We start from the raw sequence: 26,942 nt of genomic DNA, 5'->3' as shown, positions 1-26,942 counted from the left end.
AACATTTATTTTCTAAACCAACAAACAAATCCTACCATTAGTCAAAGACTCAGGTCTTTGGAATCTGAAGCTTGTAAATTTCAGGGGCACTCTTTAAGAAGAAGAATACAAAATTAAGAATAAAGTGAATATAAAATTAAGAATAAAGTGAATATTTATTTAGAATTAAAATGGCATACAGGCCGGGTGCAGTGGCTTACACCTGTAATCCTAACACTTTGGGAGGCAGAGGTGGACAGGTTCCTCTGAGCCCCAGTGTTCAAGACCAGACTTGGTACATAGTAAGACACCATCTCTACAAAAATTAAAAAACAACAAAAAACAAAAAACTGGCCGGTCTTGGTGGTGCATGCCTTTAGTCCGAGCTACTCTAGAGGACTGCTTGAACCTAGGACTCCAAGGCTGCAGTGAGTTATGATTATGCAACTGCTTTCCAGACTGAGTGACAGAATGAGATCTCATCTCTGGAAAAAAAATTTTAAATAGTATCATACAAACAACAAATTTTTAAAAGCTATAAATACTACAAATATGAAGTGTTTAAAAAACAAATATTTTTATTAACTGATTGCCATACCTCTGAAATAATTCTCCTATATTTTTTGGTTGCACACTCTTTGATCATCTCTTCCAATAACATTTTGCAATATTCTCTATTGAGAGAATAGAAAAATAATTCAGTCTTCCCTTTAGAAATGTAGATCAGAATTTGTAATTTATTCTTGAATAATTTGGAAAAGTTCCTTTCAGCTTCATAATTCATTACAGGTAATGTCATATAAATTTTTTGGATTGACTTCAAATTTGGAAAACTTTTATCAGGTTTCTTTTATATGTGAGCTGTAAGATTCAGGGCACTGCAAGATTTCGTAGTATTTGACTTGATGACACTTGTTAACCACATTGCCAGGGCCTCTCCTAGAGCCAGGAGATGGACCTATACCAGGGTATAGGTAGCCTTGAAGGTTAAGTTCAAGCACTTCACAGTAAATCCACCTGAGCCTGGCATTTATATCCTCAACATATTTGATGCATCTGTGAAGTCTCCCAGTCCTTTCAAATAAAGTGCCTGTTTTACTCAGAATACCTAAACTTCCTGATGGCATAATTGTTCCATGATTCAGCCAAGACTGTATCACTTGAGGTATACACTTCATTTTTCCATTGAGATCACAAGACAGGCATGATGTTTGACTACCTGGTGTATAAACCGAGTGTTATTTTATTACACTAAGAAAATGCAATGGGATAATATATGAAGAATGCTAAAACACTAGAAAAATGTTGGATATTATTATTTCTCTTAACCTCTAGTCTTCCAACACCCATGCTATAATGGACAAGTAGTTTATGTCAATTAAGGCAGACTAGTCTCAGTACAGTATAACAATTAGGAATCTAGATCCCCAAACCAGACCATCTTGGTTCCAACCCCAGCCTAATCATTTTCTAACTAGGTGGACTTAGGCAAATTTATTGACTCTGGAGGATTTATAATAAGCATAATATAACCTACCTTCTAAAGTTGTTTTGAGGGTTAATACACCTGAAGTACTCAGCATGATCCGTGCAGTAGCAAGACCTCAATAAGTGGTAGCTACTATGATTATTGGGAAATTAGTCCATGAAGTCTCTTGAGAAAAGCTACAGGGGAAATAAGCCCAATTTCATTTCCCTATGTAGAAAAGTTTGCAGGATTTGGGCGTGACAGGTAGTCATCCACAAAGCAGCAGTGTTATCGCCCCATAGGAAATGAAGACTTCGTAATGATTTATACTTTAATAAAGAGCTGCTGCAGCATATACTGAAAATATGCACCCAACCCATATCTTCTTTCAAAGGCATTCATGTTGGTTCAACCAAATCCCTAGTTCTCTAAAATGAAGTTTTGACAATCTTATATCTTCTAAAGCACTGAGAAGCCTTTTTCCTTGTTTTCTTTAAAGAGGCTTGAGAAGAACCAAGCCTTTTTTTGGTTCAAATAAAATATTTACAATAGGAGGAAAAAACATTCAGATAAACTTCACCTTGCCCGCCTGGTGGTCTCTCAATACACAGAAGAAATGCAACTAGGGCACTAGGAAATCTAAAAAAAAAAAAAAAAAAAGGAAAGAAAAAAAGTATAGAGCTAAAGTTCACTTCAGGACAACGCAAACTAAGAAAAACTACATTTCCCAAAGGAAATAGAGCACTATGTCTACAAAGTAACTCATTTTTTCTTTAATGTTCAATGTTGTCTATTCCAGGGAAAAAATGGTACAATTAACCAAAACTTATTTCTACCCAACATCTCTGCAAAGGAATGTTGCTGCTGCAGATCCACCCCCAACATGGGAAGGCCCAAGGCAAGTGAGCAAATAGAGGCCCATGTACCATAAGTCAAAACATTTAAAGTTACAAATCAAGCTAGCAAACTGCTCAATAAAATAGGTGTTATCCTTCTACCTAGACTGACAAATATATCTTTTCAATGTCTTGGAAGACCAGGTACAACTTTAGAACTCCTACAATGTTCATAGTCCTTCCACAGAAATGGGTGGTTTAAAGAGAGACATCATCCTGAGCCCTGGTAATCAATTTGCCTTCCTCCCCCCTGCCTGCTCCATCCTACATCAAGAGGGGCCTTGTGATATGTGGACACCCAAGCTCGCTCTCTGTCTCTCTCTCTCTTTCTCTCTCTCTCTCTCTCTCTCTCTCACATACAGACACACACACACACAGAGCTATCCCTTAAACAACCCTCGTGCAGAGATTGCACAACCAGTAGCAATGACAGCCTTCAGGAAGATGGCTTCAAGGATCCATGCAAACTGCAGATACCAGTTCAGGGCCTTCTGGACAGCGAATGTGGGTTCCCACATAACCAAATCATGGTCTAAAAATGAAAAGAGAGTAAGACTGGAAGGCCCAAAAGTCACCTCACCCCATAGGCATGGCTCTGACCAGAGAAGAATGACAGCAGAGTACCATCTAAGGCCCAGGACAGAGGCCAGTTGTGTTCATATACTAGGTCTATATTTTAGTTGTAGAGCTGAAAAAAATTGGAGGAAAATATTCCCTCAGAAAAGAGAAGAAAAAAAAAAAAAAAAAAGAGCTGCATGTCTTGACCTTTCCCAGATAGAATCTCCCCAGTCATAGGTACGGGCCCTGAAGCTAAATCTCATCTAATAATGATAGCTTCAAACCTACAAACAAAACACAGATGCTAGGGAACCCTTAAGAGTCTAAGCAGGAGGCCATAAGTAGACTAAACTGACTACACCCAAGAGGATAGTTGCTACTTGTTGGGTGCTAAGACCTAGAAAGCTGACTGTGGCAAGTAAAAGGCAGAAGTACTCCTGATGTAATGGGTGAGGAAGAGAATCTTAACCTCCTATAAGTTTTCAAATTGTCCCCTTCAAAAGTCAAACTGTCCCCTTCTTCTTTGTTATGTTGGATAAAGTCGGCTCTTCTTGCCCTCATCAGCAGTTGTACACGATTGTACACAAATGATTGTCCTACACACTCAAAATTTGGGGTTTACAATACACATCTTTGCAAATGGGGTATGTCCAACTGCTATAAGTGGCCAAACCACAGGTCACCCACCATGAGTCCTACCACTAAGACACCATTGTCAAACTGTGGGCTGTAGAGTTTCCTTATGCAAAGAAACTCTGCCTTATCTTGATTTTCTGTGGTACAAATGTAGTCAGGAAGGAGGCAGATAATGCAAGCAAACCAAATCAATTAAATCAGGAGCACTGAACTGATGACATTAGATGGTAAGCTTCCCCTCTCTCAAATCTGATATCCATTCACCCCTCTTCAGCCTCCCTCCCAACACACGCATACACACATAGAGACCACACGAAAGAACCTAGCAGCATGCAAGCACAAGAAGCTTGGGCCACACACTCATACATGCACCCAGGCAAAACTCCAGAGAGACCCTGAGCAGGATCCATCTTTCCATCCATAAAATAAAGATAATAAAACTTATCTTGGAGATTTCTTCCTAGGATTAAATGAGATACATAATATCAAGTGGCTGTCTCAGGGTAGGTTCTCAAATGTTAATTGTCTTTCTCTTCCTTCTCCCTGAGATGAGACAATTTGCCTGTCCAGCATTCCAAACCCTTTGGCATGCCAAGCAAAGAAGTATGAGTCATTATCTTGCCTCAGTCACAAGCAACAAGTACCTGTGGAGCAAAATATTACCAGGAAAGTAGAGAGTGCAAAAGAAGCGGTGAGCATTCTTGCTGCGAATGCATATCTGTTCTACTGAAAATCATAACTTAAATCTGCTGAAGTTGTACATAAGGACCTGGAGGGTAGAAGCTAACAAGGTAACAGAGTTATGCTTTTATGTGGAACTTGGCCAAATAATGCCATGCTGTAGCCAGGAAGTATGTTTCCCCTGCACCCTATTTAAAACTGCTTTGGTGGTTTGCATCAGACCTAAATAATATCCACGCTACTCTAGAGTAGGCAGTGGTGGCTACAAGACCACACTTCCCTTCAACCAACGCTGCTTCACCCTTATAAACCAAAACATAAAACCCAATGAAAAAAGAAACTTAAAAAATAAATTTAGATTTTAGCACTTCATTCGTAATAAAATTCTCTTTCCGACACCCTTCTATGAAAAAAAAAAAAAAGAGGAATCAGTATCTACTGGATAATTCCTCTGGTGACTTTATTTAAAATTTTGCAGTGGCTTTCAAGGCCCTACACTGATTCAAAATTTATGGCTAAAGGAATTGCATGAAAACTTCTAGCAGCTTTCCATCATGTTTGTCAGAAGTTGAAACATCTTTTTCCATATTTCATGAGAATACAAGAACCAATTCCATACTTCAAAAACAGTCAAATTACTTATTGTGATCAGAACTAAAACTATTCTAACTGAAAGTAAAGATTTTACTATTTGGACCAAACACCTAACAAACAGTGACTGCTTAGTTAAATGCTCGACCTCAGTTGCATTAGATACAGTAGGATGAAGTGGAGGCTCAGCTCAGCACTTCCTGGGTGCTAAATGATGTGTCAGGCACTGCCAGAGATCCCAGAGATAGAAAACTGAATAAGATTGAGAGGATTAAAGGTATAATGGGCAAGAGAGTTACGTAAAGATATGACTTTGGCTTGGTATTGTTACCAGCTAAGTGAGAGGTCTGTATCTCATAGGAGACATTTACCTCAAACTGGGACATTCAAAGCAGGTTTCCTCAAGAAGATGACACTTGAACTACGTCTTAAAAGATGAGTGAAAATTAGCCAGGTAGCAGGAGTTCCAGACATCCTGAACAAAGGAACAGCTGCCTAAATTGCTCACATTGTGTGTATGTGTAGTGACACAAATAGACTGGGAAAATGTGGGCTGTGGTGGGATGTGAAGCAGCAGAGTCAAATGGGAACCAGGTCAGAGGCCCCTGGTAAGCCCAATTAAGGAGTTAATAGTAATAACAGAAGCTGATATTTATTGAGCATTTACTATGTTGCAGGCACCATGTTAAATACTTTAAAACAATATTTTATTTAATCCTCACCATAACTCCATAATCCTCATTTTACAAATGAGACCAGGGATGACTAGTAGGTAAAGCAACTACAACAGGCTACACAGCCAGTACATGGCAAGTGGGTCTGGAACCCAGGACGGCCTGATTCCAAAGTTTATACCCTACACTCTTCTACCACCAGCCTATCCTCAAAGAGAGCACTAAATGAACGCATTGGGTCCATCATGCTGGCTATGGAATGGAGAATGCAATTAAAGGCTGCCCAACTGGGGCTCCGTGACAAGGCAGGGATAGGAAAGAGACAACAAATTGATTCAAAAATACATTCAATGGGACCTAGAAGGAAACATTCAACATGCACATCCTCCTAGTGCATACAACAACAAAAAAAAATGAGGCTTTTGAAAATGAGGTGTAGAAAATAAAACACCAGTATTCCATAATGCTTTCAAATATAAACAGTTAAAACACGTATCCTTTTCTTTACTTATAACATGCTCCCAGCTGTTAAATTCAATGGCAAAGACCAGGTCTGTCTTATTCATCTGAGATGGTATCCCAGGTCTGAGCATCCTGCCTGGCAAGAGATACTCAATAAATATGGTTGAAAAGGTAGAAGAAAAAATGCCCAGTTTTTGCAATGATATCAGAGGTGCCTTATTGATCCAGAGTTAAAAACTAACCTTACTGAAAAAATTAAAAAGTCATGTTCATAACTGAGTAGAAAACATGTAGTAGTTATGTTGACTACATAGACAACAGTCATCATTAGGGAATGCTACATTGAAAAGAAGGCAATGAGTTCAAAATGTGATTAGTATTTTGTATAAATCATAACTCATTAAAAATAAGATGTTGAGTGGCCTAAAGGTGGAAATGTGTTTTTATGAGGCGGAAAAAAAGCACGAGTAGACTGAAGATCAGATTTGGGGCCTAATGATGTCTAGTCTCTTACCCTGACAAAATAAGCAGGTTATTAAAGTGATGTGAAGAACCTGATCACTATGACACTTTTACAAATTCTTTGTCCTCAATAAGAATCTATCTACTTCCAGGAACCTGAAAAGTCATATTTTTCAGACCTGAAGAGTTATTGTGCACTTTACAGTTTTCCCCAAAAGAGTCATTTCTTAATTTTGATCATTTAGGAAGAGTGAATCTATTAAGTCAAAAACGAAGAAAAAAAAACTTTCTATTTCTTAGTGAAATTTGTTCTTTTATTTAAATCCTTTGCATACTACTAAACAGAAGTACAGAAGCTACTAAACAGAAGACAGATTTTTGGGCCTTTTTAGGTGACGTAAAAGGAGCTTGTTGTTTATTAAACAATCTCATTACCTGATATATTATCTTGCATTAAGATATTTTGAAAAAATGTTTTCAGTTTACCAATTACGTTAGAGAAATTCTGAAACTATTTACTTACATGAAAAATTAAAATGTAAGTAGAATTAGGTTTCTCGTCTTCAATATATCTGTCTTCAACCATTGGCCAACTTTGAAAATTTAATTTGAATCAAATGAATACAAATTCAAAATGATTCATTAATTCAACCATTTTGAAACTTCAGTTCTATAAAAATATGAAATCTGTGGGCCTTGTAAAACTGTCTAAATACCCAAATAAAAAGCCACCACGTTTTTAAGCTAATTGTTTAAAAGTGTGTATATTGATGAAATGAAAGTGACTCGTGAACTATTGGGTCTGGAATTTGCAAATCATAAACCTTATCCTTGTAAACAGAACCTAACTAACAACATCAGGGCCTGCTAATTTCCTTCTTTTATAATCTGGAACAAAAGTTGTAATGATTTTTAACATCCACAGAAAATTAAGGGTGCCATTTTAAATATTTATTAGCAAAATGTCACTTAGGTTTTAAAAGTCTGGAGGAAAATGAGAGACAATTGAACATTCTGGTACTGCAATGCAGGAAAAACGCCAAGAACGAAACACTAAGATTTTATTAAAACCATAGGACTCAAATGTGTGTCAAGACTTTTTGCTTGCAATAGTGCCTCTTCCTAATTTGATTAAAAGCTTCCATCTCCATGCCACCTTCAATGTATGCCATAATTTTTAAAAAGTTCCCAATCCACTTCAAACACTCTAAAATTTACAACTGACCGTGATGCGCATTTTTTCTAGACAAACCTAAAGGTAAATCTGCCCATGTCCCTGGATAAATAAAATGAGTGCCTCCGGGTGATGTGGACTGTCAACTCCTCTACATTTCATCCAAAGTCTACATGGGTCATCTCCAAGTCACCAGAAGAGCCAGGGGAAAGGAGGGGAGGGGCACGATACGTAAGATGTTAAACATGAAGATGATGTAAAATTACCCAGATTCAAGCTGGCCATTTTACAGATGAGGAAACTAAGGCCCAGAAAAAGCTCTATGACTTGCCCAAATACTCGGTTACCCAGACCACAGCTGCAGATACTGTTATTTGGATCATAGCTGCAAAAAGTCTAACTTTTGGCCGGGCGCGGTGGCTCACGCCTGTAATCCCAGCACTTTGGGAGGCCAAGGTGGGCGGATCACGAGGTCAAGAGATCGAGACCACCCTGGCCAATATGGTGAAACCCCGTCTCTACTAAAAATACAAAAATTAGCTGGGCGTGGTGGCACGCGCCTGTAATCCCAGCTACTCGGGAGGCTAAGGCAGGAGAATCGCTTGAACCCAGAGGCAAAGTTGCAGTGAGCCGAGATTGCGCCACTGCACTCCAGCCTGGTGACAGAGCGAGACTCCGTCTCCAAAAAAAAAAAATCTAACTTTTGAAGTCTCAGAGGTTTTACACTTTCCATAACAAATAGTTAAGAACCCCCATTCCTGCATGCATATATATATTAATATTATATATATTTATATATATAATTATATATATATTTATATATATATAATATATATATATATTTTTTTATTTTTATTTTTTCCTTAAAAACCTTCAGAGACAGCGATCAGGTGGGTAGCCTAGTTAGGATTTTAACCCTTCGGTTTCCAACAAACGATAATTGCATAGAACCATCAACTCCCTGAAGACAGGACTATCTTGTTCCAGGCAAAATCTACAGCCTCTAGCACCCAGTAGGCATTCAGTGAGGGATTCTCGGTTTCACCTGAGCATCTCCACTCCCTATCCATCCATGCCAAGGCGTCAGTGGAGCCAGCTAACTTTCTTTTGGAAATCGATTATTTTCTTGAAACTTGTTTCCAAAAACTCCGGGCCAAGAAGCCGGCCTGAGGGAAAGCGTGGCCGTCTCCAGGAGCTAAGGACTGAGGAGCTGGCCTTTTGAACGGGTGGCTCAGAAAGAGCTGGGTGGGCACGCGGCATCGCCATGGGCGGAGTGGCCCAGGTGCGCTGGCTGCTTTGGCAGCTCAGGCTGCCGCTCCGGGCCGCTGCTCCCCGGCCGCCTTCAGATAACCAACTTCTCAAACTTCCCTTTCCGGGGGTGGGGGCTCGCCTCGAACGCGGCCAACACAACGCCTTTCCTGCTCGCACAAAGGGGACCAAACGTGCCCCGCGCCCCTTGCAACTGAACTTTCCTTCTCTTTTTCAAGAAAAACTCACAATCCCTGCAGCTACGGGAGTCGGGCTGCGTGAGTGTCGCGGGGGAAACTTTCCTCGTTTCCGCCCGGGGGCCGGGTTGCCGGGCCCGACTGTCAAGCGCAGCGGAGAGGCGGGGACCCCAGGAAGACCCCCGGCGCCCCGCCGAGCCCGGGCTGGGGACCACTCACCCGACTTCTGAACGTGCGGTGGGATCGTGCTGGCGATACGCGTCCACAGGACGATGTGCAGCGGCCACAGGCCCCTGAGCAGCCCCCGACCCATGGCAGACCCCGCTGCTCGTCATAGACCGAGCCCCCAGCGCAGCGGACGGCGCCTTCCCGGACCCCTGGCTGCGCCTCCGCGCCGCGCCCTCTCCGGACCCCGCGCCGGGCCGGCAGCGCAGATGTGCGGGCCAGATGTGGCGCCCGCTCGCCAGCCAGGAGGGGGCCTGGAGGCCGGCGAGGCGCGGGGAGGCCCCCGGCGGCCGAGGGAAGCTGCACAGGAGTCCGGCTCCTGTCCCGAGCGGGTGCACGCGCGGGGGTGTCGTCGCTCCGTGCGCGCGAGTGACTCACTCAACTTCAACTCAGCGCTGCGGGGGAAACAGGAAACTCCTCGCCAACAGCTGGGCAGGACCTCTCTCCGCCCGAGAGCCTTCTCCCTCTCCTCGACGTCCAGCCCCTAGCTCTCTCGTAGCTGCCAATCATGTTTCCTAGACCAGCCCCTCCGAGAGCTTTGGCCGACTTTCAGCTGCCCCTCACCGCCCTCCCACACCACTCAGGAGTTCCTCGCTCCAAGTATTTACTCAAGAATGACTAAGTGCACACAGTTCACAAAGTAACAACAGAAAACGTCCACGTTTTCCCTAGTAGATCAGAACATCTGCCGCCTCCCCTCAGCTTTCTTCAGATTGCTCCTAGGTGCTTTAGAGATGCGTTTTCAAATTGCAAGTTGAGATCCAGGAGTGAATACTCCAATCTATTGAGTCGCGAGCACATTTCTTTCCCAAATAAAATAGTAACGGTAAATTCTACTTCATTAAATTTGTGCTTCAGTTGTGTCTATATGCATGTATGTATGTGCATACACTGTCAAGTTGTAAAATGTTTTTCTTTAGGTCGAAGTCTAGAGGTTTTTCTCAAGTTTTAATGTACATATTGATCACCTGGAAATCTTATTTAAAAATGCAGATTCTAATTCAGTAGGTCTAGGAGGCAGGCAGAGATTCTGCATTTCTAATGAGCACCTGGATAGAGCGTCCCATTTTGCACCGCCTCTTCCCGGGACTGAGTCAGTGAGTAATTGTAAATGATCACCTATCACGAAGTGATAGTGGTGGGAAATGTAATTTTCAGAATGTATAGAGTATAGCAGAAACTGTAAAATTAAAAGTGGGTTGGGAGTCACCTGAATGCTTGTGCTTTTATTCCCTTAATGCAGGTGAAGAAAGAGAATACTTACCCTCTCATGTGCAAACGGGGTAACATGGGAGCAGAACAGTATAAACTTTCAAATTTCCTTTCTTGCTAGGGCAACCAGATTTGCCCAAGACATTCCTGGTGTACATGTTTTGTAGTTTAAATATTAATAGAACCCCCTTTCTCTTTCAGATATGTCCTGATTGGATAATAAACTATGTGATCAACCTACTTCCCACTCTCAAAGATATGATTCTGTACAGCCCTCTGGTCAGTAGATCTTCTAGCAATTCATTTAATGAATTCCTTTACCTGAGAGGAAGATTGCAGAGGCAAGGGTTTGTGCCAGGGTCTCCAGGGAATAAAGGTAAATAGCCCTCCCCCAAACCCAACTCCCAAATCTTTCCTGTCATTCTAAGTGTTCATTTGCTTCATCCTGGAATTTTAACTCATGCTCCACCTAGCACCCAAGCTGCCTCTGGATGTTTTGCCACTTCCCAGTACTCATGTTGAAGATGCAGAAAGTGCAGTGAAATCAGGAGGGCTAGGCATCTTCTTTCCCACCAATTAATTGCCTTGCCAAAGCTGGAGTGACTTTGTCAATGGAGGAAGATTGAGTTCCAAATCTTCTCCCTATTCCCTCTTCTGCCACCAGCCCATGCCACTGCCATGGCTTGTGTAGGAGTCTCCCACGAGTCACCCTCAGCCACGGCCGTTCTGGGCTCTTTCACTCAGTTTCTCAAACGAGAGCTGAATTCAGCTTTTCAAAATACAAAACTAGTTATACCAACCCTCTGATTAAAATCATTTAATGGCTTCCCACTGCTCTTGAGATAAAGAGAAGATAAAAACCAGATCCTTGAACGTGTCTTCAAGCCTCCAACTCTCCCGTAAACTTTCATTTGGCTTCTCCTTGCTTACTGAAAGCCTTCTCCAAATTTCGTGAATATGCCTCTGTAATCCTCCTACCCTTTATGCTTAGAGCCTTCCCCAGTGTGGACTTCCTTCCTCTGACCTTTTTTTCTTCACCCAGCCAACTCCTGGTCTTCGTGGATTGAATCATAACTTCTTTGATGGGCAAGCTTTCCCTCACCTCCATGAGTAGATCTTGTATTACACGTTCTCTTGGCACCATATGCTTTTCTTTTAACAGCTGTAACTTTATAATTATTTGTGTCATTCTTTAATTTATATTTCTATCCTCCACTCAACTCCAAATTTCTTGAGGGCAGGTATTATGTATCTTTCCCTCCACTTACTATTGTGTCCCTAAGCATCAAACACATAATCGATGTTTAATAAATATTTGTTGGATGAATGAATGAATCAGGCAATAAAGATTTAGAAGAAAATTGTATTTGATTGTTCTAGTTGCTTCATAACTCTGGAGAAAACATTGTTACCGAATATTTGAGATATAAACAGACTACATTTTAGCCGAGAATGATGTCACCACTACTTCCTTTTCTTAAGAATGGAGAAGTATGTGGGTTTCTTTCTTCTTCTTTTTTTTTTCCTACATTTGCCCAAGTTCCTCCAGATAGCAAACATGTACTTTCTTTCTCCTGAAAACACAATGTGGCAAATAAATGTCCAATAGATTCCAAAAGCTTTGTTTTCCTTAATTATCACAAAGATGTTTTACATTGTTGGAGGCTAGATATTTAAATCTATGGTGGAATGTTTAACTGGTGGTCTTTGCCATGATACATCATTAATGTTGATTTTAATTTTGTTTGCCCTTAACATTTCTGATTTAATCTCCAGTCTCCTGTGAAATTGAGAAGAATCAGAATTCAGCATTGCCAAGTGCAAGCTAGCCTTTTGAAAATCATCATAATAAAAATAATAGATGTGTAAACTCATGCATATTGCAATTTGATAATTTTAAAAATTCATCAGGCTGAGTGCAGTGGTCCACACCTGTAATCCCAGCACTTTGGGAGGTCTAGATGGGAGGATTACTTGAGCCCAGGAGTTCGAGACCAGCCTAAGCAACATAGTGAGATTTCATCTTTACTAAAAAAAAAAAAAAAAAAAAAAAAGCCAGGCATGTTGGCATGTATCTATAGTGCCAACTACTCAGGAGGCTGAGGTGGGAGAATCACTTGAGCCCAGGAGACGAACGCTGCAGTGAGCCATGATTGTGCCACTGCACTTCAGCCTAGAAGACAGAATGAGACCCTGTCTCAAAAACAAAAAATAAATAAAAGAAAAAGAAAAAAAAATTGTCATGATGCCCTTCCTTTTGAAATTCTTGTTGAAAGGGATGTCTGATACCCTTAATCAAGACATCATTTTCACACATAGTTGTATATTTGGCTTAGTATAATATTTTGTGTATTCACATAAGCAGTTAATATATACATGTAAAAAACTGGGCCATTTGCAAATGGGAACAAAAAAATAATAGCCCGACTCAGGGTTTAAAAAACAAGGAAGGTAACGTTTAAGCCCTTAATGAGTTGAAAAACAATAAATATCAACTTGAACAGAAATTTTAAAAGCTGACAATCTATTTTACCAGCTTTTTAAACTCTGCACGCACACACAAACACACACAATTGAACTGAATCAAATTGTGGTTTATTTAAACGTTGGGTTTCTCAGTTGTGATGAGAGAAGAACTTCCTACTCCCCTGAGCTTTGTGACATGCAGCTGTTGAGGTTACTGTCAGCTAGAGCAGTTAACAGGGAGATTCCTCTCCTTATAAATTAACCAGCCTCATTCTCAGCTCTTATCTCTTGACCAATTTTCCTTTTATTGTGAAGCAAACCAATAAGCACTGAGACTGTAGTTAATTTGTGAGGGTCATCCACCCTTTGTGGGTCATCCATGATGCTACCTCCTCCAGGAAATATTTTGTGATGCTTCACCTACTGTGATCACTCCTTTCCCAGGGATAACCCAGGGAACATTTCGTTTATTTAGCCTTTTTTTAAAAAAAAATGTTTGCCCCATTCTAACATGGAGTACATTATTGTTATTTATTTGCTTTTTAGAATTCTACCCTAATGATTGTAAAGCCCTTAAAAGCACAAAATATTCCTTTTTCAATGTAGAACCACACTCCGTGCTCTACAGATAATCAGTATTCAGTGTGTGTTTCTTGTCTTCAATAGAGAGAAAAATAAGAATATCAGTTTTCCTAATCCATTCTCTTGTTTGCAGTTCTTCACAGATATTAATAGAACCTGCAATTATGCCACATGTTTACAGAAAGCATCAATAGTATGTTTTGAAAAAAATAACTTTTTGAAAATTACAAGGGTAATACGTGTTAATTATAGGTAGGAAATTTAGATTTTTTTTTTAAAGGCAGACTTTAAAAGGATTCTTAACCCTATTATCCAAAGATAATCCTTGTTAAATTTTGGAGCATGTCCTTGCAGTACTATTCTAATCTTCCCTTTACAAATGAAGAATTTGAGGATTAAAGAGATTAAGTATTTGACAAAGGTCACATAGCTAGTAAAAGACAGAGCCCAGATTTGAACTTAGTCCTGTCTAGTTCCAGACTTGTTCTACACTCTAGAACAAATTGATCAGGTGGTTGATCTTCGCCACCTGACCAGTGAAGGATTTCAGGAAATGCCACTCCAAAATATGCTGCTTTGGTATACTGATTATTTTCAGTTGAAGGCACTTAAAGACCAGCAAATGCAGGGAGGAGGAGAGACATGTGGAACAGATGTGGACCAACCTCCTGATTGAATCTAAGCCAGACCTCCATCAGCCAATCTCAAGCCTACCTCTAGCCAATCCATATGAGTCTGAGTAAGAATAAGTAAATGCCGTTTAAGGAAAAATTTGGGTTGGTTTGTTATCCAGAATTTTTGAGGCAATAGCTAAGAGATATAAGGGATGTGAAGGGTGAGGAATCACGGAAAAGCAAGGTTAAATAATTTGCAGGTGGTAAAACTACAAAGGGGTTCTTATAGACAAAAACTATCATGAGGTTTGTTATGGGGGCTGAAGATGAGGAAGACAGTAGGACTCCAATTTAGACTTTTAGGATCATCTACAAATTAAATTGTACATACAGTTAAAGAATATGGGCCGGGCATGCTGGCTTATGCCTGTAATTCCAGCACTTTGGGAGGCCGAGGCAGGCAGATCATGAGGTCAGGATTTCGAGACCAGCCTGACCAACATTGTGAAACCCTGTCTCTACTAAAAATACGAAAATTAGCTGAGCGTGGTGGCACACACCTGTAATCCCAGCTACTTGGGAGGCTAACGCAGGAGAATCGCTTGAACACGGGAGGTGGAGCTTGCAGTGAGCCAAGATCACGCCATTGCACTCTAGCCTGGGCGACAGAGCAAGACTCTGTCTCAAAAAAAAAAAAGAAAAAAAAATTTAAAAAGAAAATGACCAACACCATTCCTCCATTCCTTGTTTACTTAAAATCCACTCTCTCTCCCATCTTGCCATTAGTTCACTAATTTTGTTTAGGATTTGGATGCAGCTCCTCTTAAGGAAAAGGCCCATCCTTGTCTAAGGGTGGGTATGTAATCCAGGTCCGGTCAAAGCGCTGCAAGAAGAAATCTGATGGGGGCTTGTGGGAAATTTTTTTTCTACCTGATAAGAAAGAAGTGCCTAAGGAAAAGGACTCACCTGTTTCCTAGCTTTGAACATAATTGGAAGAGGATAAAACAGTTGGAAATACTCCAATCACCTTTCAACAATGAGAGGAAGGCCAAAAGTATCAGAGTAGAACCACTGAATCATTATCAGCAACTACCTCAATGTAGACATTATTTGAGTATGGTGGATAGTCTGTAAAGATGGCCACCATCGCCTCCTTTTTTCACTGTACTCACACATTATTCTGCATAATAATAGGTGGGATGGAGTCTATTTTCCCTCTCCTTGAATCTGCACTAGCTTTGTAACTTCCTTTCACCAGAATGTAGTGGGAGTGACATTGACCATTAGTGCCAATTCTGGGACTGGCCTCAAAAAGAGACTTCCTCTCTCTCAGAAACCAGTTTTGCCAGATGCAGTGGAGTGCACCTATAGTCCCAGCTATTAGGGAGCTATTAAGCAGGAAGATTGCTTGAGCCCAGAAATTTGAGTCCAGTCTCAGCAACATAGTGAGAACCTGTCTCTAAAAAAAAAAAAAAAAAAAAAAAGAATAGAATCAGGGCTGGGTGCAGTGGCTCACGCCTGTAATCCCAACACTTTGGGAGGCCAAGCAGGCTGATCACAAGGTCAGGAGATCAAGACCATCCTGGCTAACACAGTGAAACCCCGTCTGTACTAAAAAATACAAAAAATTAGCTGGGCATGGTAGCACACATCTGTAGTCCCAGCTACTCAGGAGGCTGAGGCAGGAGAATCATTTGAACCCAGGAGGCAGAGGTTGCAGTGAGCCAAGATTGTACCACTGAACTCCAGCCTGGACAAGAGTGAGATTCCGTCAAAAAAAAAAAAAAAAAAAAAAAGAATCAGTTACCACGTAAGAAGTTTGAATACCCAGAGTCCATCATGCCTCATGGAAGCCCAAGCTAGCCATTTGAGAGGCCGCATGGAGAAAGAAATGCCCAGCCAGCTATGCTCTATTCTAGCCCTCCTACCTGAGGCACCAGAAATGTGAGTGAAGAAGCCATCTTGGATTTTCTAGCCCCAGCAAATACCAGGAGGAGTAGAGCCAGCAAGATGATCCCCATTTTGCAGAACTATGAGAAATAATTAATTGATATTGCATAAACTGTTAGTTCCAGCCCAAATCATTTCTAATACAGAGAAATCCACTGATTAAATTGAAAAAGGAAGACATTTCAGTTACTATAAGCTGTTAACCTGTGTACCAAATACATAGTCACATCAACTATGAATTGAGAATTGCATGGTTTCTTTAGTTATCTTTGAATTGCACAATTATACACATTTCTATATTGTATATGTTTAAAGTGATTCCATGTTACAAACCCATAAATGTAAAACATATTGTGATTTTAATTTTAGCATTTGTTTATTTTTACACACTAATAAGGAATCTCAACACCCAAGAGTGGCCCAGCATAACTTGAGCTTGAGAGGCCCTGTGTTTCATTTCAGAATGAGGATAATAAAAAGGCATTGAAGGAGATTTTGATCGTGGGAGGGAGATGATAACAGATAATCAGATAAGATTTTTCAGTCAGTGATTAGAAAGTCTGGATAATGCATCCAAGGACATAAGACTGTCAGGAAAACAAGTAAGAAATAACCAAAGTCTAAACCAAAGTCATGACTGTGAGAATAGGGGGAAGTCAATAGATTAAAAAGATCATACAGAGTTCAGTCTGGTAGGAATTGGTATCTGAGTTGACACAGAGTGACATAAAGAGATATTCTAGCAGGAGACAGCTCTCAAAGCAACCTACACTTAACATAATAATTCTAGACAACATGTATTGTTTGGCACATTTATCTCTACATGCCATACAACATTCAGAGTGTTTGTATGAATAAATGACATTGGTCCTCGCAACAATCCTATGAGGTAGATAGCATCATACATAGTCATTTTATAGGTGGGGAAACTGAACCAGAGAGAGGTTAAGAGATGGCAGAGTCAGAATTCTGGCTCAATACGACTGGCTGCAGAGCCCAGGCTCTAAGCCACTCTGTCATCTGCTGCCATGACACCAGCCACCTCTCAGTCTCTCCAACTAGGCTGTGATTTACTGAGGCAGGGACTGTGTCTTTAGCATTTTTAGCTTCTTGTGCCTGATCCATATTTTTTGCTCAATGAATACTAGTGAATAAGAGGATGGTTCAATGAATAAACTCTATAATTTGTAATATTTAAAAATTGGGACTTAGAAAGTTGTGAATTTAGGAAATAAAATCTGCATTGCCCACAATGCCTGACCACAAAATGAGGTTCATAATGCTCATCACAGAATTTAAACACCTGCACAGAACTTCCTCTTAAAATGATGAAAAATGCTTTGTAAAAGTGAAAATGGTAAAAACAAATGAAGACAGATTTCATTTCCAGAGAGAGACTTTATATCCTTTGTAGTTACATTCATAAATTTCATCCTGGTAAAACATTCATCTCGAATTCTTAATTTTTTAAGAAGGAAAATTACAATAAACCGTTTTAAATCTTTTTGTCAAACTCAGTATGTGCTTCCTTAAAAATAATGACACTCCTATTTGGACATTATATTCCAAGTGCCACAATCACTTAGTTTAATAGTTATTAAACAAACTATACACAAACCTTGGAAGCTAGACACTTCATCAAACATAATCAATTTCTTTAATTACAACAAATTGTTTTAATTATTCATTTCTCAAAAGTACAAAGCCACTTACCAATAAGGGTTAATTGACTTAAAAATATTTACCTTAAGGTGGATTTATTTGGTTGCTATCAGAAAAAAGATGATACTAGCACTTTTAAGAGTTCTGTTTAATGGGCATGTACTTCAAATTAATGGTATTACACATCTTAAAACATATACAATGTATATGCATTAATTATATTCAATAAATACTTGATATTTACTGGAAAAACTTTGTACCTTAATCAAAAATAAATATTTCAAACATATTGTAGCATTTGGAAAGGTCTTCTCAAAAGGCTGTACCCCTGGAAAGCTTCTGGAATTGCTTCAGCCAATCCTATTCTTCTTTCAACTCCAGAAGCTTTGTTAATTTGCATAATGGAGGTGAGAAATACATTTTCATTTTGGCCATTATTTGTGCTCAAAATATAAAGACTGGCTTACAGGATTGTACAGGTATGCCTCCTGTGACATGAATAGGGCATAAAATCTTACATCCTTTCCAGTAGAGCCATAGCCCTAAGTATCCAGTCCTGTCTTAAGCCATTTTTGTAATATTCTGACATTTGATCTCAGATTAACTGTATCCTACTGCTCAAAAATTTTCACATTTTTCTAAAGTGGTGATTTCCTGCAAAATACTATCACAGCATGCTGAAGGATCAAGAGTAAAGTCTTCACTTAGTTTACAGAAGAGGTCCATGCAGGTTTGCTAATAAAAATTTGTACATGTTGAGGAATTCAATCTGAGATTTATTTTTATTGTTAAATGTTACCTGGATAGCAAGGATGTGGGGAGACCTTGAGTTCTTATCCATTTCTAACTCCTCCCATCTACCAAACCTAACTAAATATTTGTCAATGACAAATTGACTTTGGTCAATTCACAACAGCTCTCTAAATGCAGAAACTTTAGATTAATGGCTAAGAAAGATTGCAAAGAATACTTGGTAACAAAACACTTATGCTTTAGTGTATCAGAGGTTAGGAATGCACAGTGTGATATGTGCTCTTGCATAATCATTTGCGCAAGTCTCCAGAGGATATTAATTATTAACCAACAGAATCATTTGAACACTCTGTGCCACTTTTACCTTCAGGCATTTCAAAGGGTTGCCTCCTTCCTGAACCTGACAATAGACTCATTGGTTATTGTTTAGAATTGTTTAGAATGGTAAATGCTTGTCTCTAAGTTATAAAAAACTGAACTGTCTGTTTCTCACTTAGTCATTCCTCACCTAAAGGCTCTCAGAATGCTGCCAGTTCTTTAGAATTCCAGAAAAAAATAGTTCAGAGAGGTTGCCTTTGATATTTTTTATGATCATTTTGCCTCCACGTGTAAAACAAACCCCTAAAAGACAGTTAAAACACTGAACTATTTTTGTAACACTCAGTGTTTTGACTAATTTTATAGATACCTTTTATTATGCTCTACTTTTTTTCTCCTCAGCCATCTGCTCTAATGAAACATATTTTTTCTCTATGGGGAGTACCCATGTTCCCTAGGACATTTTTCTCTAAGTAGAGAAAACTAGATCATGGTTTTACCATAGAATTGTTATACGTTTTCACATCAATCCTTTACATAAATATCTTACAAAAGGTAACAATTATGTACGTAAAATTCTACTCCTGGATGAAGTATATAATCTCTAGCTAGACCTAGAAAATAATATTGGTATAGTGTTTTCCAATTCACAAAGAGTCTCTGCATGTATGATCTTCTTCACTACATGTAAAAACTATATGATGTGAAATTATTAATCTATAATTATTATTTATATTATTATCAACATTTTACAGGTGAAGACATTGATATTCAAAGACATTAGTGACTTATCCAAGGCCACCTAGCTAGTAAATGCTAAAATACAAATTGTTTATCTGACTGCTCTTTCCTGTAGCCCTCATAGCCTTCTTAACCTTTCTTTTCTGTTGTCCTATATGTCAAACTTTATGCTAGTCTTTTACCTCTGTCCCCAGCTCAGGGTACACTGGTGTGCTTAAGTCCATTTGCAAAGTCCAAGCAATATCATTTGCTTCCTATCCAGAAAGGGTCCAGAAGTGCTCTGGAGCCAGAGAGCCCTGAGGGCATTGCTATAGCACATCCAGCATGGTGATCATCAGTTAACAGATGATAATCTACACATACAGAGGAGCCCGGCAGAGCTGCCTGCACAGGTGAGTCATCCCTCCGGTGAGTGGGGATGAAGACGGGCATCTTCTAGTAAAACCACTGCTCTTGGCACTCCATGATGCCCCTATGGTTGTCCTCTACTCATTCAAGTCCTCAGAGCCTCTTCGTTCTGAGAGCCACACTTGAACCAGCAAACTCCCTTTCAGAATGTGATTCTCTGCTCTGTTCTTATAAATGTGGCTTCTCTCTTCCTCACATACAAGCCTACAACATGCTTTTTTCCAAAACAGGAGATCCTGACCTAGAATTCATGGAATTAACTCAAATGAAGTGCAAACTGTTGTATGTATGTGCATAAGTATGTTTTTCTTTTCTTTTCTTTCTTTCTTTCTTTTTTTTTTTTAGACAGAGTCTCACCCTGTTGCCTAGGCTGGGGTGCATTGGTACAATCTCAGCTCACTGCAACCTCTGCCTCCTGGGTTCAAACGATTCTCCTGCCTCAGCCTCCCGAGTAGCTGGGATTACAGGCACCCACCACCACACCCGGCTAATTTTTGTATTTTTAGTAGAGAAGGGGTTTCAACATGTTGGCCAGGCTGGTCTCGAACTCTTGACCTCAGATGATCACCCGCCTCGGCCTCCCAAAGTGCTGGGATTACAGGCGTGAGCCACCATGCCCAGCCATAAGTGTGTTTTTCAGAAGAGAAGATTTTAGCTTTTATCATATTCTCAAAGGGGCCTGTGGAAAAAAAAAATTACTAATAATATTTAGAATGAGTGATAGATCTAGAAACCAAACTCAGACCATTTCACTCTAAAGTGCCTATTACTCATTTCTTTCTTGATTTTTCACTTTCTAACTGGGTGACCCTGAACAATTTGTTCAACATTCCTGAGTCCAATTTATTTTTGATAGTCATGCCAGACTTTCATTTCCACGAATATGGCATAGGCACATTTTTCCTATTCCTATTGATAAGTACAATAAAAGCCCCAGACATTATGTATTAGGCAAATGTAAGAAGACTATAAAAGGAGAAAATATAAAGACAAGCCAGTTCGGGATGCCTAGACCTAGTGAAATCACATGGCAGTAATTGTCGTGGGCTTCCTTTTTGCTTCACGTATCTCAGACATGAAGCTGCAGAAGCCGGAAACCTATAAATACCAATAGACAAAAGAAAAGAAAATTTAAGCTCCAACAAAAGCTTCTTCTCTCTAGCCAAACATTAGGAAAAAGGCAACCTATCAAGACAGAAACATTTTACACAATAACTTCTCCAACAAAATACCACATGAAATACTGTGGCCCCACACCTATCTATACCAGTAAAAGATGAACTCGGAGCCTAGATTTCCACCCTCGTGAGTCTGTAATGAGGAACCCTAACACTTCGACTAGGATAGCTTCAAAGAAGACCAAGTCAGAAGGAAGGATTTTCATCCCTGCTGTCCAGTAATGATATCCCCACTCTGCTCCCCTCTGCTTTCATGGTGGCAATGGAGACCACATGAGCAGCATGGACCACATCGAGCAGTAGCAAGATGTCTCTATCCTTCCTCACTGTGGTGGTATCAGAAGAAACCGATTGGAAATTTAGGACATTAACTATTGCCTAGAGTAATGAGGCCACTACCACATCAGTGGAGACCACTAGAGGAGCTGGAACTCCAACCTGTAACCAGCAATAATGAGATGCTTCCCTCCCCGCTGCCTCTACCACACAGGTGTCACTGGAGGTAAAGTGGGGGAACCCAGACCTCTTCTGGCAGTAACAAGGTGGTAACTACTGGCAGTAACAAGGTGGTAACTACTAGCAGTAACAAGGTGGTGCCTACCATCTCACTGAAGCAGTGTCAAAATATTAAAGCAAATGGTTTGTAATAAGATCGTAAATCATGTAACACGGTGCAAAAATGTCCAGGTTTCGATAGAATATGATTCATCATGCCATGAACTAGGAATATCTCAAACTTAATGAAAAAAAAGATAGTCAATAAATTCCAACACCGAGAAAACAGAAATGTTAAAATTACCTGCTAAAAATTTTAAAGCACCTATGATAAAAATGTTTGAACAAGCAATTAGAACCAATGCCAGAAACAAAATTGCAAAGTCTCAACCAAGAAATAGAAAATCTCAGCAAAGAAATAGAAAGTATAAAAAAGAAACACATGGAGATTTAGAATGAAAAATATAATAACTGAAATAAGAATCTCAGCTGATGGAATAAAAAACAGATTGAAGGGGAATGAGGAAAAAATCAAGGAACTGGAAGATAGCGCAATAGAAATTGTCCAATCTGAGCAAAAAAGAGAAATAGGCAGGAAAAAAAAAAGAGCACAGCCTTAGGGATCTGTGAGACTATAACAATGTATCTAGTATTTATGATATCAGAGTCTGGAAAGGAAAGAAAGAGGGAAGAACTGAAAACATACTTGAAGAAATAATGGCTGAAAACTCCCCAATTTGTGGAAAGACATAAACCTATAGATTCAAGAGGCTGAACAAAGCCTGAAAATAATAAGGCTAAATCAATTGATGTCAAGATACATGATAATTACAATTTTGAAAGCTAATGACAGAAAAAATGTTGAAGCAGCCTGAGTAAAACATCTTACTTATAGATGAAAAATAAGGATGATAGCAAATTTATCTTCCAAACTATGAAGGTAAAATTGAAGTGGCATAATATGTTCAGGCACTGAAAGAAAAAAAATCTGCAAACTCAGAATCCTATATTTAATAAAATATATCCCTTAGAAAAAAAGAAAATCAAGTCATTCATAGATGAAGTACAATTAAGAGAATTTGTTGCCTAAAGACCTATCCTAAAAGATGTTTTTTAAACAGGAAGAGAATGATAAAAGAATCTTGGAAATCAGAAAGGGGAAAAGTACAATACAAACAGTAAAAATATGAGTGAACACAATAAATTTTCCTTCTCTTTTTGAGTTTTCTAAATCATGTTTTATTATATAACACCATCTGATGTGGCTCTAAATCTATGTAGAGGAAATATTTAAGATAGTTATTATAAATGGAGGAGGATTAAAGATGAAAAGACAGGTGATAGTTCAGCATATCATTCAAATTGATAAAATAGTGGCACCAGTAGACTGCAATAATTTATGTATATATCCATTAAACCCACAAATAAGCTGTACAAAGAAATGCACTCAAAATGCTATAGGCCAAGCAAAATAGAATTTTTGGAAAAAAATGTTTGAGTAAGGGAGAAAAATGTAAACAGAGAAACAAGAACCAGAAGAAATAAATAAGAAAACAAAAGTAGACTTAAGTACTAACTTATCAATAATCATGTTGAATATAAATAGTCTAAATATACTAATTTAAAAACAGATATTGGAAAGAGTGGGTTAAAAATGACCATACTACATGCTGTCTACAATAAACCTACTTCAGATATAATGATATGGGCAGGTTGAAGCTAAAATTATAGAAATGTATTTATCATGCAAATATTAATTAAAGAAAAGTAGGAGTGGCTATACCAATAGTTGATAAAGTAGATTTCAGAGCAAAGAAAATTACCAAAGGCAAAGAGAGACATTAAATAACAATATATCATCAATTCACCAAGAAGACATAGCACCCCTAAATGTATATGCACGAAACAACAGATCTGCAAAATGTGTTAACCAAAATGGATAGAACTGTAGGTCAATAATTATAGTTAGAGACTTTAACACATCTCTCTCACTAACTGATTGGAAAGCTAGACAAAAATCAGCAAGGATAGAGAAGAATAAAATAATGCCATTGACTGACAGGAATGAATAGACATTTATAGAATACTTCCCCAAATAACAGCAGGATATAGATTCTTTTGAAGTGCCCTCAGAACCTATTCCAAGATAGACTATCCTGGGCCATGAGACAAACCTCAACAAATTTAAAAGATCTAAAATCATACAAAGTATATTTTGAGACTATAATAGAGTCAAATAGATATCAGTAACAGAATGATAATAGAGAAATCTTCAAACACTTGGAAACCAAATGACATACTTCTGAATTATATTAGATCAAAGAAGAAGTCTAAAAGGAAATCAAATAATACATTAAACTGAAGAAAAGTAAAAATACAACGTGTTCAAATTGTGAGATACAGTTAAAGCAGTGCTGAGAGGAAAACTTATAGTATTAAATACATAAATTAGAAAAAAGGAAACTTCTCTAATAAATAATCTAAGCTTCCACCTCAAGAACCTTGAAAAACAGAAACCAAATAAACTCAGAGCAAGCAGAATAAATGAAGCAATAAAGATAAGAACAAAAAATCAATAAAATTGAAAATAGAAAACTATAGGAAAAATATCAGTGAAACAGAGAACAGTTTATTGGAAAAGATGGATAAAATTGACAAAACTCTAGCAAGCTTGACAAAGAAAAATGGAGTGAAAACACAAATTACCAATATCAGGATGAAATGGGGATGCCACGTGCAGACTCTGCAGACATCAAAGGATATTGGAACACCATGGACAACTCTACCCATATAATTTGACAACTTAGATAATAGGGGTCAATTCCTTGAAAAGCATAAACTACCCCAATCCACTAACCATAAAATAGATAATGCGAATAGATCTCTAACTATTAAGCAAATTGAATTTGTAATTTTAAAACTCCAAAAAAGGGCCTGGCGCGGTGGCTCACGCCTGTAATCCCAGCACTTTGGGAGGCCGAGGTGGGCGGATCACAAGGTCAGGAGATCGAGACCATCCCGGCTAACATGATGAAACCCCGTCTCTACTAAAAATACAAAAAGTTAGCCAGGCGCGGTGACGCCTGTAGTCCCAGCTACTCGGGAGGCTGAGACAGGAGAATGGCGTGAACCCGGGAGGCGGAGCTTGCAGTGAGCTGAGATGGCGCCACTGCACTCCAGCCTGGGCGACAGAGCGAGACTCCGTCTCAAAAAAAAAAAAAAAAAAAACTCCAAAAAAGGAATTTTCAGTCCCAGATGGTTTCAATGAAGGATTCTACCAAGTATTTAAAGAATTAACACCAATTCTATGCACTCCATTCTGGAAAATAGAAAAGGAGGGAGCACTTTCCAGTTCATTTACTGAAGCTGGTATTGTCCTAATACAAAAACCAGACAAAGACAGTACAAAAAAAATTAAAGATTAATACACTTATGAATATAGATGCAAAAATGCTTAATGCGATATTAGCAAATATCATTCAACAACATAGTAAATGAGTGAAATAGCATGACCAAATAGGGTTTATTGTATGAACACAAAATGGTTCAATATCATAAATCAATCAGTGTAATCCATCAAATCAACAGGCTACAAAATAAAAATTATATAATTACATCAATTCACGTAGAAAAAGCGTTTGACAAAAGTAAATATCCACTTCTGATTTTTAAAAAACTCTCAAAAATAGTAATGTAGGAGAACTTACTTAACTTTATAAAGAGCATCCATAAAAAACTTGTAAAAACGAGGAAGAGTGTTCACTCTCACATTCTTATTCAACATAGTATTAGATTTTTAGCCAGTGCAAAAAGGCAAAAATAAATAAATAAATAAATAAATAAATAAATAAATAAATGGCATACAGATCAGAAAGGAAAAGTGAAAACTGTTCTAATTTGTTATTGACAAGCTACAAAATAAAAACAACTTCAAGAAATAATAGGTGAGTTCAGCAAGGTCACAAGCTACAAGATAACAAATATCAAATGTATCTCCGTATTTTCTAACAATGAACATATAGGCACTAAAAGTAAAAATACAATACCCTTTACATAGCTCAAAAATGAAATGAAATACTGGGGCGTAAATTGAACAACATATAGAACTTGTAAGCTAAAAACCAGACAACATTGTTGAAAGAAATTAAGAAAGATCATGAATGGAGAGATGTATCAGGTCCACAGATTGTAATACTCAAAATAGTAAAGATGTCAATTCTTAAAAGATACCAATTCTTAAAGATGTCAATTTAAGAATTGACATCTTTAGTGTGTTTCCTATCAAAATATCAGCAATATTTTTGTAGATATAAAATATTAACAGAAAATGTATTCCAAAATTTATATGGAAAGGCAAAGAAAATAGCTAAAACAATTTTGAAAGAAAATAATAGAAATAAAGAAAACAGTCTTCAAGCTACAGTAATCAAGACCAGAAATAAAGCCTAGAAATAGACTCACATAAATATGCCCAAATAATTTTTTACTAACATAGAAAAGCAATTTAATTGAGGAAAGATAGCCTTTTCTACAAATGGTGCTGGACCATTTGGACTTTGGATTTCCATATGCAAAAAAACCCCACACACACATACACACACACACACACAAACACACACACACAAACCCTCAAACTAACTCGTATTTTATACAAAAATTAACTCAAAATGAATTACAGACTTAATGTAGAAAGTACAGCTATTAGAGTTTTAGAAAAATAGGAGGACCAGTCTTTGGAATCTAGCTTTAGGCAAAGAGTTTATAGTCTCGAGAAGAAAGGCACATTCATAATAGAAAAAATTAATAAATTAGATTTCATAATTTAAAAGTTTGCTCTGTGAAGACCTTGTTGAGAAGGAAAAAAAAGACAAGCTACAGAAAGCAAGAAAACATTTGCAAACCACATATGTGATACAGGACTAGTATCTATAATATAAAAAGAATTCTCAAAACTCAGTAGTACAAAGCAAACAATGAAACTAAAACATGAGCCAAAAAAGCGAGGGTACATTTCACCAAAGAATACATACAAATGGCAAACAAGCACATAAAAAGATGTTCAACATCATTAGCCTTTAACGAATTGCAAATTATAACCACGATGAAATATCATTAAATACCTACAAGTATGGCTAAAATAAAACTAACAACATTGTCTTTCTGTACTTAGATTTTTTCACTTAGTACAGTGTCTTCCAGTTTCATTCATGTGGTTACATATAACAGGATTTTCTTCTTTTTAAAGCCTGAATAATATTTCATTGTGCATAGAAATGTGTGTGTGTGTGTGTGTGTGTGTGTGTGTGTGTGTG

The 26,942-nt window shown here is 38.4% G+C and overlaps 2 protein-coding genes across 17 annotated transcripts in view, besides 4 other annotated features; one reads left to right on the top strand and one right to left on the bottom strand.

Annotated features, from left to right (window-relative positions):
- TGFBR2 (transforming growth factor beta receptor 2) overlaps positions 1–9,867 on the bottom strand; it is an 87,787-nt gene extending 77,920 nt beyond the window's left edge. For 12 of the 16 annotated variants that reach the window (NM_001407136.1, NM_001407133.1, NM_001407126.1 and 9 more), the window contains exon 1: positions 9,246–9,622. Coding sequence is in view for 10 of the 16 variants with exons in the window: in NM_001407126.1 (NP_001394055.1) it covers positions 9,246–9,339 (94 nt within the window). In the remaining 6 variants the exon portion in view is untranslated. The other 4 variants (NM_001407129.1, NM_001407132.1, XM_047448787.1 and 1 more) reach the window with 3 other exon arrangements.
- On the top strand, positions 9,299–11,824 carry LOC105377015 (translation initiation factor IF-2-like). Its single transcript, XM_047449400.1, has 2 exons — positions 9,299–10,077; positions 10,665–11,824. Exon 1 carries the CDS (start codon positions 9,299–9,301, stop codon positions 9,737–9,739), a length of 441 nt encoding a protein of 146 aa, XP_047305356.1. The 3' UTR covers positions 9,740–10,077; positions 10,665–11,824.
- Positions 9,449–9,548: a silencer, noted in NCBI's record as "silent region_14158". NCBI's record gives its function as "represses an Ori minimal core promoter by ATAC-STARR-seq in GM12878 lymphoblastoid cells {active_cell/tissue: GM12878}" and the evidence as "EXISTENCE:reporter gene assay evidence [ECO:0000049][PMID:35858748]".
- Positions 18,563–19,062: an enhancer, noted in NCBI's record as "500 bp enhancer 129 fragment used in low-throughput reporter constructs". NCBI's record gives its function as "activates both an SV40 promoter and a TATA-containing promoter in HepG2 cells {active_cell/tissue: HepG2}" and the evidence as "EXISTENCE:reporter gene assay evidence [ECO:0000049][PMID:23512712]".
- Positions 18,740–18,884: an enhancer, noted in NCBI's record as "145 bp enhancer 129 fragment used in the MPRA reporter construct; PK_construct_75". NCBI's record gives its function as "activates an SV40 promoter by MPRA in HepG2 cells {active_cell/tissue: HepG2}" and the evidence as "EXISTENCE:reporter gene assay evidence [ECO:0000049][PMID:23512712]".
- Positions 18,806–18,819: a transcriptional cis regulatory region, noted in NCBI's record as "HNF1 motif; enhancer activity is lost when this motif is scrambled". NCBI's record gives its function as "necessary for full MPRA enhancer 129 activity {active_cell/tissue: HepG2}" and the evidence as "EXISTENCE:site-directed mutagenesis evidence [ECO:0005528][PMID:23512712]".

This window comes from Homo sapiens, chromosome 3 (assembly GCF_000001405.40).
Source record: "Homo sapiens chromosome 3, GRCh38.p14 Primary Assembly".
NCBI lineage: Eukaryota > Metazoa > Chordata > Mammalia > Primates > Hominidae > Homo > Homo sapiens.
Note: the sequence above shows the minus strand (reverse complement) of the source record. Positions and strands in the feature narration are given on the sequence as shown.